Source organism: Homo sapiens, chromosome 7 (assembly GCF_000001405.40).
Source record: "Homo sapiens chromosome 7, GRCh38.p14 Primary Assembly".
In the NCBI taxonomy this organism is placed as follows: Eukaryota; Metazoa; Chordata; class Mammalia; order Primates; family Hominidae; genus Homo; species Homo sapiens.
The window spans coordinates 111,203,782-111,218,222 of NC_000007.14; the positions used below are offsets into that span (position 1 = coordinate 111,203,782).

At 37.1% G+C, this 14,441-nt stretch overlaps 1 protein-coding gene and 1 long non-coding RNA gene across 26 annotated transcripts in view; both read right to left on the minus strand.

Moving 5' to 3' along the window:
• IMMP2L (inner mitochondrial membrane peptidase subunit 2) overlaps positions 1–14,441 on the minus strand; it is an 899,849-nt gene that overhangs the window by 541,138 nt on the left and 344,270 nt on the right. The gene's annotated exons all lie outside the window — the stretch shown is intronic.
• LOC124901725 (uncharacterized) overlaps positions 1–14,441 on the minus strand; it is a 71,230-nt gene that overhangs the window by 31,449 nt on the left and 25,340 nt on the right. Inside the window, exon 1 of the long non-coding RNA XR_007060477.1 lies at positions 1–14,441. This exon is cut by the window's left edge and continues 20,156 nt beyond it; it is cut by the window's right edge and continues 25,340 nt beyond it. This is a non-coding gene — a long non-coding RNA (uncharacterized LOC124901725).

Consider the following 14,441-nt stretch of genomic DNA (forward strand, 5'->3'; position numbering starts at 1 on the left):
TAATAAAGAGCAAAGCAATGTAATTCCAAAAAGATAGCTCTCAAATATTTGAAAAAAAATCACTAAATCCTAAAACTTCTCTTGGAAACAATTTCCATGTCTCAAGACCATTACATTGGTTACCCTTGTAAGAATTTTCTTAGGAATAGTTTAAAATGGTTACTTTGATAATACAAAAGATCTCACACTATAGAACTGCTGAATGGACTCACAAATCACTTATACTTTTAAAGTCTAACCATCCCAATGTACACTCAGAAAGGAAATAAATCTGACATTCAAAAAATATTCTTTTACCTTTTATAGTATCTACATTTTAAAATATTATTCTAAAATAATATCATTCCTCTAGTGGATGTGAAATTATCTTGTTCTGTCCAACAATGTTTCAACGACTGAGACAAATCCTGCTGTGATTAGTTTTGAAAATACTTTCACAAGCCCACATCGCTCACTGATGCAAATGTCTCATGAGAGGCATCTACCTTTAAAATGCAATTTGGGATCTGCTTCTGTTAAAAGTAAATTACAATATGAACTACAAGGGCATAAAACAACAACAAAAAAATCTCATTTTAGTTTATAATAAAACCTAGAGCATATCATCACCTCTGCAAGACAACATATATGAAAAAATATCTGATTAAAATTTAATATGCTGTACAGTTTTCCAAGCATACTAAGTATTAAATAATGCCAGTTGATCTATATTATGTGTATTAGCACATAAGCATAAAGTAGCTATATATGATATTATAATGATCTACCAGCTCTCTTTTCCCATAAAAATTCTGTACTATACTTTGTGATTTTGAATAAAAATAAATTTTTAAAAAAATAAAACTTCTTGGCTACCACCTATATACTTGAGGTACTTTCACATTTAAATAACATGTTGAGTACTTTCATATAAGAAATGATTTAATCTTTACAAGAGCTTATGTTTTGCTATCCCCCATTTAAAGATAAAGAAGCTAAGCCTTAGAGAAGTTAACTGACCTACTGAAGATCACAGAGTAAGTGTCTACAATTCAAACTGCTTTTATTGATGTAGTCATTACTTAAACATTGTTGGGAGTATATTGGGATGTAAAGTGTGACAATATAGTAATCAGAATGAATTCTTTTTCATCAATATATCAAACTTCATACACTATCTTAGTCCATTCCTCCTGCTATAACAAAATATCAGACTGGGTAATTTATAAGGAACAGAAATTTACTTCTTACAGTTCTGGAGGCTGAGAAGTCCAAGACCAAGGTGCCAGCATTCAGTGTCTGGTGAGGGCCTTCTTGCTGTATCCTCACATTGCAGGAGGGGCAAAAAGTACACAAGGGACAACACTGTGTCTTCACATGGCAGAGGTGGAAAGCCAAAAACAAAACAAAACAGGCCTAAGACCCTCCTTTCCACCTCTTTTATAAGGTCACTAATCCCATTCATGAGAGCTCTAGCCTTATGACTTAATCACTTCCTAAAGGCTCCACCTCTTAATACTATCACATTGGTGATTAAGTTTCAACATATGAATTCTGGGGGACATATTCAGCCCATCACATACATCAATAAGTGAAGCCCTTCACAGTGTTTTTACTTGGTTTGTTGTGTATTTCTTTCAAGGAAATTATCACTGCTACAGTTGTCCAAAGAACTTCTCTATGGAGATTGTCACAGAGCCAATTTCCTAACTCCTCAGGAAAATCAGTTCCATTGAACGTCACAGGACCTTATACAGATTAAAGGTCTCTTGCTAACCAAATATATATTTTTCTCCCTCCTTCCAACTTTACCTCTTTGAATTTTTGAATTCAAGAATTAAATTTGTAAACTATCCATATCAGTAAAAAAAAACATTAAATAAAAATTAATAATAACAAAAAATATAGGAGATTTACACACTTAAAAAAAAGATTAAATTATGAACTATAGGCCATGCCATCTTGCTCCCATTCTGCTCTCTCCCAGTTGCTGCTCTAGAGCTGAGTCTAATCCTATACTGAGTTCCACAGAGGAGCCCATGGGAACAAGCTGAGGCTGTTGATGAGGGGGGCCTTATTTGATTCATATCAGGAGTCAGACTAGCTGGGGCGAGTTCATTTGTGACCTGCTTGCATTAAGTGCCAATACATAATAACATAGAAGAAACTGGCTGGAAGCCTTTATGCATCATCTACAAGTACAATCACTTTAAGTAGAGGACCGCCTGCACAGCTCCAAACCCAAGTGCACACAATTAAAACGTGCTACAAAACACAGTGTTAAATCTCTAAAGACATCCCAATGATACCAAATCTGTTTTTCTAATGGCACACAAGACTGCTTTAAAACACCTCAAACCCTATCTTATTCTTACACAGCTGTGATTTTAAAGAATCTATAACCTCCTTCAGATCTCACTATTAGTAAAGACCAGAGGTTTTTCATTACGTCTCCCTTAGAACACTAGATAGTGCTTGCTTTAACTTAAGCTTATTTCCTCTCCATCCACCCAGAGGAAACAAACAAAAACATGTTTCTTTTAATATCCCTTTATACCAGTAAGTCCCCTTTAGCTTTCCAGCACTAAGATACATTAAGTCCAGAATTGCTAAGCAATTTTCAAGCCTTTCAATTAGTTCCCCCAAATCAGCATCTCGAACTACATTTCAAGTCTACATTTATATGCATTTTGGTGTATAGCGACCGAGTAAGTGACTGTGCTCTTCAGATTTTTTTTTAATTCTTAGTTTTTGTGGGTACATAGTAGCTGTACACATTTATGGGGTACATGAGATATTTTGATAAAGACATACAATATACAATGTATCAAAATAATAACATAAGGATAAATGGAATTACCTCAAGCATTTATCATTTATGTTATAAACAATCCAATTATACTCTTTCAGTTATTTTAAATGTACAGTTGAATTATTATTAACTACAGTCACTCTATTGTGCTATCAACAAGTAGATCTTATTCATTCTTTCTTAAGATTTTTAAAGTGAGAATATATACTTAGAAGCTTATTTTCATCTCCCAAGCAAGAGAACAATAAAACCAAACAGAACAAAACTAATAACAAACAATAAGCCTCATCAGGGGAGATGATTTTCCTTAGGTGTTACTCTTAGGCTCCAGATGAGCACACCCAGCATACATTTCAAATAAGTGGATAAAAAAAAGACCAGAAATTGCCATTTATCACGCTTCAACTCTTTCTGAATAAAAAATAAGTTTTACAAAAAACATTTTTAAGATTTTTAAGGAAATTTATTCAATGATTTAACCTTGGAAGTGTCTCTCCTTTTGGAATATATTGTACAATAGAAAATTTTCCAGAGTCTCCATTTTAAAATCAGCATTAAGATACTGCCCTGGTTAGAAATGTACTTAAAGCATCATTATCAATAGAATATACCTTGGAAAGGATACAGAGTGATAGCCAAGCACTTGACTTTTGGAAATAGGCTGTCTTGGTTAAGTAGCTCAGCCACTAATAATCTTTGTGCCTCAGTTTCCTCATAGAAACTAACCTATTTCATGGGGTCATGAGAAGATTTGAGATTATAGCCATAAAGCACTTACTGCAATTCCTAGAATAATGTAAGAGCTCAATTAATGTTAGTCATTATTATGCTGACTTCTAAGAAACTGCTTACTCTTTCATTCCCAGACTTCAAATACATCTTTAAAAATGTAAAAACCACCAATTAATTCCTAGCAAAGATAGAGGCTTGCTTTCTTTCTTTCTTTTTCGTTTTATTTTTGGTTTTTTTTTTTTTTTTTTTTTTTGAGACAGAATCTTGCTCTGTCATCAGGCTGGAGTGCAGTGGCACAATCCCTCACTGCAACCTCAGCCTTCCGGGTTCAAGCGATTCTACTGCCTCAGCCTCCTGAGTAGCTGGGACTACAGGTGCGCGCCGCCATGTCCAGCTAATTTTCATATTTTTAGTAGAGACAAGGTTTCACCATGTTGGCCAGGATAGTCTCAATCTCCTGATCTCGTGATCTGCCCTCCTCAGCCTCCCAAAGTGCTGGGATTACAGGCATGAGCCACCACACCCAGCTCAAAGATAGAGGTTTTCTATTCTAAAATATTAATTTTACTCTACCAGCCTTTTTGTTTGTCTACAAAATTAGCTTTTCTTTCTTTGTTACAAGAGCTACCAATAGTTAATCCATCCTCGCTGTACCCTATCATTATATTGCCCATCATTTCACACATTTGTCTTCCTCCTACTGCTCTCAGTTCAAAAGACCCCCTACCAAACAAACTATTATTAGCTTCCAGGATTCCACTTTTACTGTTTTTTCAGTCTTCAGTCAGGACCTAATGGACTCAAACAGAGTCTACTATACCGTTTATATATTGCTTGTATTACTCAGGTTTGGTTTTAAAGGCTCATAGCAAAATGTTCATTTTGACCATATCCAATATGTTGCTATTTTAACAACATTCTCTCAGGTGCATAATCATTCAAAAAAGAACAACAAAGTGAAAATTTCATTGATACAATTATTTTATTTACTATTTGTAATAGGCCAAGAAAAGGGAACGGTGAAAGCAAGAAGATTTTTACCCATAACATACAGAGCTTACTGTTGATTAGAATTCCAAAATCAAAGCAAGCCCTTAATTAATAGACCCTTTAAATTATTTTATTTTGTGGCTGAATTACCACACTGATACTTACTCATTTAATTATGCCCTGGCCCAGAGAACTGACATTTTTACTGGCAGGTTATGAAATGTTTGTTAAAGCTATGAAGTCTAATTATAAAAGCCTTCTTTCAGAGGTTCACAAAGGATGGAGAAGAACTAGAAAATTATCTCCCTGGTACCAAAGGAAGAGTTATAAAACAAATGAAAACAAATAGAGTGAAATCACATGAATGATACATGTGTAGGTAGTTTAGAGTACACACGGATGGGAGGCTGGGCATAGAATACACAGCAGAAAATGCAAGGATTGGTCTGGTGCAATCCTTTGGGTCTTTATAGAAAATGCTATGATTTACTTTTTTTTCTTCAATGGGGTTGGCTGTGACTGAAGTTTCATGATTGCTAATATGTTATCATTACTCAAATAATTAGACTTGGGAGCAATAGATTTTTAAAATTAGCTATCTCAAAGAAAGTGTCATTATAATCATCTAATTATCCTTTGAGGTAACTTATGTACACATGCTGTAAACGTTCAATATCTTACTCCCATGGGTGCTGCCTCCATGTTTATAGTTTAAAACTGATAGCATTATAAGAATCTGTGATGACAACTTAGAGAGCACAATTTGTTTATTTCTTCAGAAATCTGAAAGTAATGTTCAGAAAGTAAGAACTCACAGCCGAGCACGGTGGCTCACGCCTGTAATCCCAGCACTTTGGGAGGCTGAGGCGGGTGGATCACGATCACGAGGTCAGCAGATCAAGATCATTCTGGCTAACACAGTGAAACTCCCTCTCTAATAAAAATATAAAAAATTAGCCACGCATGGTGGCACGCACCTGTAGTTTCAGCTACTTGCGAGGCTGAGGCAGGAGAATCGCTTGAACCCAGGAGACGGAGGTTGCAGTGAGCTGAGATCATGCCACTGCACTCCAGCCTCGGCGACAGAGCGAGACTCCTTCTCAAAAAAAAAAAAAAAAAAAAGTAAAAACTCACTAATTACGGATTAAACTCAAAAATTAATATGTAGTTTCAGCTAAGGTGGTAAAACTCATATTTACATTTAATTTATTCACATATCAATACAGTATTTCTCTAGCCTAAATGCCACCAAACATTTAGCTATATTCAATCAACAAGATTGCTTAGCCAGATAAATAATTACCACCTTTATCAGAATAAGATGCCCTCCTATAATAATCAGCCTGTAGGAGCAAATGACTTTTTCAAAAACATAATTGTGTTAAATAAGTCTCTAAAGAGACTGATCACTCTAGCAACAACACAGAACAGTATTTGAACTATAAAATAACTCTTCTTTGTTACTCTTTATTACATATACAAGTATATCATCAAGAAACTGCCCAGAAAGAGGTGGGCAGGACACTTACAGGTGGGCCTGAAGGTTCGGGTCAGTAAAAGAAAAATGACTCAGATATTCTTGATCTCTAGGCCTCATCTTGCCCACTTCTAGGCCTACCTATGCTATATGCCTATTAGCCCTGTTCCAGTTCATGGGAGGGAAGTACAGTACTCTTCCTGTCCCCTCAGAGTCCAAGCAAGGTGTTCTTTGCCGAGAGTGAATAATCAATCTCTTCTCCGTGTCCTCTCCTTTTAGCTGAGCCTTTGCTTCAGAGTAGCTCCTTGTATCTCCTTTTGGTTGAGTAACTCCTTTCCAAATAGCTCCATTTGGTAGGAGACTTTGTTTTTTGCTTTCTTGACTCTCTGCTTCACCTTAATTAAAATTACCCCAGCCTCAGCAATTCCCTAGGAAGAGACCCCTGATAGGAAGATTAGTAGAGAATTAATTGATTAGTTGGCATATTTGTCTTAATAATTAGAAAGTTCATCTTTTTTAAAGAAGATCACACATCCAACATAATTATGTGGCTATCTTTATTCATCAGCTTAAAGTTTTCAAGCTGGGTTTATTTCACGTGTAAACTTACAATTGCAAAAACTAACAAAATTCCTCAAAACTACTCTTGCTATTTCTAGGTAGAAGTCTTTTCAACTAGGCAGATAGGTGCCTCATTATTCTTAGAAAACTCTAAGGACTACCTGCACTTATTTTATAACCCAATTAATGTATCTTCTCACTACCATTGGAAAGAAATATTTCTCTTTTCTTATGCTTGATATATTTTTAAGTATGATACATTTTGAAGTGTGTTTCCTTTTCTAGTTTTACTACCTGGTTAATAGAAAAAAAAATACTACATCTGCCTACACTTATATTCTTAATCATAAGACTGCCCTGAAGGGAAGGTATTCAAAAAAAACAAAAACTGCTCTTAATACCATGATATTAGTATATTGAAATAAGAACCATGATTAAGAAATATTAATATACAAAGAGTAATCTTTTTCTGAGAGTGAGAACTGGAACAAAATGAGAACAAAATTACTCAAAATGAGAAATAATACTTGAACTTGAAATTCTTGTGTTGTGTCCCCCAGCAGTGTAGATAAGGATAAGGCCTTTGGCTTTACCTGGACCTACCCTGGATAAAAGGGGAAAGAGAAATAAAATAAGAAATTTAATTTAAGCAAAAATGTTCTTCTTCTTCCTAAAAAATAATATATTCAGTCAGTTGCTCTATCTACCAAGTCATTTAATAAATATGTATTGAGTCAGTATATAAAACTTTGTGAAATCCCATAAAGTACAAGAAGAAATACAAGAAAACTATAAATACTTCAAGGAAATACTACAGAGAGTACTACAAGAGTTCAGAAGAAGGAAACCACATATGATTAGCCTGCATAGATGTGAATGCCTTTCAGATAGGCCCCAAAACATAAATTGGATTTTCACCAAAGGAGTTAACGTGGAGGGCATCCTGAATAGCTGGGAGGAAATGACTCTATGCGGAACTACAAAAGCAAAGTGTGGAAAGAAGAAAGCAATGGCTTATTCAGAGAAAGAGAGACGAAAATGAAGAAAAAAAAGGAAAGACATAAGAAAGACACTTTGAGTTTAAAGCATGCCGCAATTCAATGGGAGGAGTAGGAAATAGGCTGGAATCCGAATTGAACCAGGTCAAAACATTGTTGAATATCAAACCCAATCTATTTAATCTGTAAGAAACAAGGACCCTGAGAAAGATTCTGACCAAGGGTATGTGATCGGAAACTTGACAGATAAATGTAGTATACTTGTAAAGCCATACTGTGAAAAACTTGGGGATTATTTGAACACAAATTATCACCTGGAAAAAGACAGAAAACAAGGCAGAAGACTGTGCAAAGAGGTTGGAATATTCAAAACTTCAGATTAGAAGACGGAAATCCTGGCCGGGAGCAGTGGCTCACGCCTGTAATCCCAACACTTTGGGAGGCCGAGGCAGGCAGATCGAGACCATCCTGGCTAACACGGTGAAACCCCGTCTCTACTAAAAAAATACCAAAAAAATTAGCCGGGCATCGTGGCAGGCGCCTGTAGTCCCAGCTACTCCGGAGGCTGAGGCAGGAGAATGGCATGAACCCAGGAGGCGGAGCTTGCAGTGAGCCAAAATCGGGCCACTGCACTCCAGCCTGGGAGACAGAGCAAGACTCCGTCTCAAAAACAAAAAAAAGAAGATTGAAATCCTGTTTAATGTTGCTCTTCTCTTTCTATACTATAAACGAAACTAAGGTAATCATTAAATCATCCTAAGCATTTGTATTGCCATTTTGACAGTCTTCATCTTGATCTATTAAACCAGATCTCTCTGTCTCTCTCTCTGTCTCTATCTCTATCTCTCTCTCTCTCTCTTTCTCAACTTTCTGGGGGAATTATAAGGAAGAGTCAGGGAACCCTAATCTGGAAGATTTATTTTATAAAATAATAGTTCATAGATTTTCCTTTAAAGAGCAAACAACTTTTTCCTTCAAAGAGCAAACAATAATTACGGCCGGATGCAGTGCCTCACGCCTGTAATCCAAGCAGTTTGGAAAGCAGAGGCAGGTGGATTGCTAGAGTCCAGGAGTTCATGACCAGCCTAGGCAATGTGGCAAAAGCCTGTCTCTACAAAAAACACACAAAAAATAGCCAGGTGTGGTGGTGCACACCTGTGGTCCCAGATGTTCAGGAGGATGAAGTGACAGAATCACTTAGGCCAGGGAGGCGGAGGCTGCAGTGAGCTGAGATCACACCACTGCACTCCAGCCTAGGCAACAGAGTGGGACCCTGTCCACTACCACCCAAAAAAAAGGGGGGGTGGCAAACAATAATTATTGCCACCATCATAAAAATATAAATGTTTTCATATACATAATGGATGAATAAAATGATGTTAAAAACTCAATTTAAAAAATAATTGTTACACACAGTGGGGTCTGGTTGAAAAAGAAGAGCAATTCTAAAGGTAAAGGATAATAACATGTTAGATTTGTGGATTCCATGGGGCTTCTGCTATTTATGTCTGCCCACTGCATTTCCCATCTCCTGCTCTGTCCTTGTGTGGACTACCGGTCTCATTCCATGTGCTCTGGTAGAGTTCTCAATCCTCATGACGGCAGCCCATCTAGAGCAGAGGCTGCCATGACACCAGCTTCAGTGGAGGATGTGTTTCCAGGACTGCGCTCTCCACAGAGCTGGCAGGAGCTGGAAGCAGCCAGAAGCCCCGCCCTTCCAGGCACAGCTGCAGCCACCCAAGTGGCGGCTCCAAACCCAGGCATTTCTACACTCTTGGAGGCCAGGAAAGGCCCCCTGTCTCTGCAGGCTCAGAGGTGCCTGCTGTCACTGCCTCGCCTCTCCTTGCTCCCTGCACTTGCTCCGATCTTGGAGTGGAGTTGAGGCCTAGCCCGGGTGCTGTCACAATCAGGCTGAGTGTGCACACAATAAGGGCAGCACTGACATACCAGCACCCTGCTGCCTCAGCCCCCTCCAGGCTTTGGGTGCCAATGAGCATGGGAGGGAGGCTGAGTGGGGCCTGAAGGCAGCTTGGTGCTGGCCTGCAGGCACCCCACAGCACAAACAGCCTGGGTGCCATGAACTGTGGCAGGAGGCAGACGCGCTCCTGAGTGGAAGGGGGTGGGTCCCTAGCAAGGCCCCACCTTCAAGCTGGGGAGGGCCTGAAGCCCTCCAGGGGCCAGGCTGCTGGTCGTGCAAACCAGAATGGGAACTTGTGGTACCTTCCAGCCCTGCCTATGGCCACCCTTGGACAAACTGGTGCACACTTCCTCCCCTCTGAGGCCCACAAGAACCCCAGACTCACCCAGACTCAAGAAATCGATGGAACCACTAGCTGTAGGGAGGAGTTACCCATTCCAGGCTCTCCTCTCTGCTGAGAGCTAAAGAGATGACAGTATGACCAGTTGTGGAGAGGAGCTACCCACACCAGAGTCTCCTATCTAATGAGCGCTGAACATTTGAAGGAATGACCTGCCTGCGGAGAGCTATCCAACGTGGGTCTCCTCGGAGCTGTTCTGTTGCTCAATAAAGTTCCTCTTTGCCTTGTTCATGTGACAGTCCTACAAATGTACCCCCTGTATCTAAGATAAAAGGTGATTTAAAAAAATAAGACCCAAGTCACATGAATAGTGAAGAGCTATAAGTATTCATACATTTCTAATGTAAAATATATGATGGTTAACTTTGGTAAACTTGAGGGTAGAAATATATTTTTAATACACAATAAATCAATTAAATAGGCAGGTAATGATTTTATCTTGAAAAAAATTATAAAACTTCATCATCTGTTCCCTTTTACTATCCAGTCCCTTCCAAGGGTATCTTCTCTTGCTTATTTAGAAAATCTGTGTGAAACACTCAAAACAAATTTCATGTTTATATCTTACTAAAATTAGAGAAATAAAATCAATCACTTTGAGTCCTTCTATGCTTTAATTAAATGTATCCTCTTAGCAAATTTGTTTTTAATCCAGTGAATGAATGACAAAGTAATTTTTCTTCTTTTTTTTTTTTTTTTTTTTTTTTTTTGAGACAGGGTCTCTCACTCTGTCACCCAGGCTGGAGTGCAGTGGCATGATCTCTGCTCACTACAACCTCCGCCTCCTGGGTTCAAGTGATTCTCCTGCCTCGGCCTCCCTAGTAGCTGGAATTACAGGCACCTGCCACCAAATCTGTTTTTTTTTTTTTTTTTTTTTTTAATGTAGTAGAGACAGGGTTTCAACACGTTGGCCAGGCTGGTCTCAAACTTCTGACCTCAGGTGATCCACCTGCCTCAGCCTCCCAAAGTGCAGGGATTACAGGTGTGAGCCACCATGCCTGGCCAATTTTTTTTCAAATTTATGTTAAATCTCACCTAAATAAAATATATGATATTAAGAATGTTCAGCATCTTGTTCAACATTTAAACAAACTCTAGTACATACTGTGTAGATTATCCAGAGCTCCATAACCATGTAAAAAAAAAAAAGAGAGAGAGATAGAGATTAAAGTAGAACATTCAAAATACAGCCACAGGCCAGATCTGGCTCAAAGACTTGTTTTGTTTGACACATACCAGCGCAGCAAAATTGTTTTCTGATGAAATGCTTACATGTATAAATGAAAAACTTCACAGAAAAACTCCAAACTTAAGTCTCCTCCTTAGAAAGAAAAACAAAAATCAAAAACCAGTTCTTGCAAAACTATGCCCTCATTCCCACATATCACCGCAATCTACATACTTTAAACTGTGAATTCAGATACCAGTTTGCCATAGTACCCATCACTCCTTATATTTACCATTGGTTAAAAGTGTCAATGGTTGCAACCACACAGAGACATTATATATGTACAAGAAAAAAACAAAAACAAAAATAGAAGTACTCTTTCCTAAGCACTGTAAGTACTTTCCAGATCATCTACATGAGCCATTCTATTCATTGGTGAGCCTCCCATGCATACTTATGATCATACCCTTCTGCCTGAAGAAGTGTCTTACTCAGAATCAAAAAGTTGCTAAGTAACAGTATTACACTCGAATCTGAATCTGACCCAAAATCCAATGTTTTTCCAGCTTCTGCACAGTTAATACAGCTAGCAAATAAGTAACAATTATTTTTCCCAAACAAGAATCATGAAGATATTCTAGCCTATTTGAATATAGCTACTTTTATATTACAAGATCAAATTTACTACACATAACAGGCAAAACATGGAAGGCACCCATTTAGTCTAATTTCAAAAAAGATATACATTCTCTCCTTCCTGAATTTTGTCTTATTTCTTTCAATAATAAAAGAAAGGTTAGATACAAAAAGTATCAGATCACCCACAAATAGGCACTTAAAAAAGAAAAGTATGTCAATCATTGGGTAAGCTTTAGAAGGAAACTGTGGCAAAACATTAATTTTCTCCTCTTTCAGAAACTTCTTTGCTCAAATTCTACTTTCATTCTTTCTAATATAAACCTGAGGCTGGCTCTTACACAAAACTGTTGAAGTCATTCTTTTGTTCCTTCTTCATTTCTCATCTGTAAATGTGCTCATCAACTTGTCAACCAGGCTGTTAGAATTTGTATTTAATCTTCACATTCCCTCTCAGCTAAAATTTTCTCCCATTCTTTAATCATTTCCTATCTTGATTACTATAATTTCTCTTTTATTGTCCTCTTGAAATTCATACTTGTTAAGTCATGTATGGCCAGAATATATACTAAAATAACATTTCCTTCCAACTGTCTTTCTCTTCACAAATACATCTTCATTCTCTCTTGGAAAATTCCAATTTGCCTTTGGATCATTCCAGATACCTCACCGTAATTATCTTCTCTGTCACTAGAGTATGGAGTCACATACATCACCAATTTTGTCATCTCACTTTCCTTTGAGGAGGTCCCAAGTAGATATTCATTGAGATAGTCTCTTCTCAAGAGCACTGTTTTAAAATGTTCCCTGTCAAGCTGGATAGCAAGAAACAGATGAAGGATTAACTATATCAGTATTTTATTTCTTTCCTAGAAAAAGAGGGAATAGTTCAAGATACATTCCACATCTTAAACTTGCTTTGAATTTTAGTTTTGGAATATATTTTTATCACAAATTGTCAATTTATGACTGCATAAATTTATGGCGTACAAAGTGATGTTATGATTTATGAATACAATGTAGAATAATAAAGTCAAGCTTGTTAACACATCCATCACCTCAAATATTTCCATTGTTTTGTGGAGAGAACATCTGAAATTTATTCTCTTAGCAATTTTAAAATGTACAGTACTCTATTATTAATTATATTCACCACACTGTGCAATAGAACTAAAAAGAAATACCATATTCCTCCTGTCTACCTGAATTTTGTACCCTTAAAGTGGAATTTTCAAATAAATGGTTTCTCAGATTCTAACATTTTTGGCAAAAGATGAGACATCCAATTATATCATATGAGGCACTAACAAATGCAAATAGACTACCCATATAATCAAAAGAATAACATTTAAGGCAATAAGCCCTTCAACTTCAGAAGGCTTGGCTTTATGACTATATTCAGTCAATCACATAACCATTTTGAAGTCTTGCAGTGGATAAAATAACACCTTTGAAGGGTGGGGGAAAAGAAAAAGAGACATTTTATCAAATGCATGCAAGTGATTTTGCCCATATAAATACTTGAAATAAAACCCTAAATGGCACATTTTAATTTTCCCTTTGGAATTTTCTGGAAAAAAAATTGCCAGTGTAAATTCTTATCAAAGACATTCCTCATCTTCTGATCTCTCTCTCTCTCCCTCCGTCTCTCTCTCTCTCTCTCTCTCTCTCTCTCACACACACACACACACACACACACACACACACAATATGCAGTGGAGTTAAAATGTTCCTGGTTAGGAATATTTTTCTCTGTTCTGCAATCTGTAGTAATTCTTTATCTTAAAGCTAGCTCTCCTTTTGGTGTTAGAATGGTGGCCAGGAGCCTAGCAGAATAGAAGGAGAATCAATTCAAGAAACTCTCCCAGTGAGAATAAAGGAAGACCTGTCCAGGGAGGCACCAGCACTACTCCTAATATCAGTCCGCTTAAGTGGGTACCTGACCCTTTTCACATGAAACAAGAAGTGGTAAGAAAGATGGTGTTCACCTTAGACTAATAAAGCCCACTCATGGAGCTTGGATTAGGGTCAGCTTCTCCTGAAGCATTTAGCCTACAGCAGAGCAGAGTAGCTACATGAAGAAACTAGGATATACTGTAAGCAAAGGAATAAAGGGATATCAATGCTGAGTACAGCTAATAACGTCCGTTGAGTCAGAAAGAGAATTGTGACAGAATTATCCAATCTCCTTTACTTTATCTTTTATAAACAATAACAAAACTAGTATATTTTATATTCTGATTAGAAGCAAATTACAATAGTTTCAGGTAATCCTTTACCTCAAAATTATGATACTAAACAATAATCAATATGAATGAAATTCTAATACAAGGAAGAAAAACTGCCTGACATGAAATAACTATCAATCATCTTCCCTATATATTCTAGAAATCTTATTTTTAATATAAAAATTAAGTTTAGTATTTTTGGCAAGATTAGATCTCTACTATGAATTGAAAGTCTTCGGTATCTCTCTGGAGGTGGGTGTTAGAATCAACAGGAGCAGTATTTTCATGTTCTTCACTTTTCTTTTCAAAATAATGAGCTACGGAAAATGCTATTGCCTTTTTGTGCTTTCATAAGAAGTAAAAATCAAAGGATTCTATGATGGACAGAAAATTTGAATCCTAAGGAAAATAATAAAATCTTCTCTCTTTATTCACTCTTTCCCTATATATGAATTGTTTAGCTTAGCATTTATGGTCTTAGTAAACAAATAGCAAAATATAAACAAGTGTCCCAAGTATCTGCTCTGTTCTGAAGTTTTCTT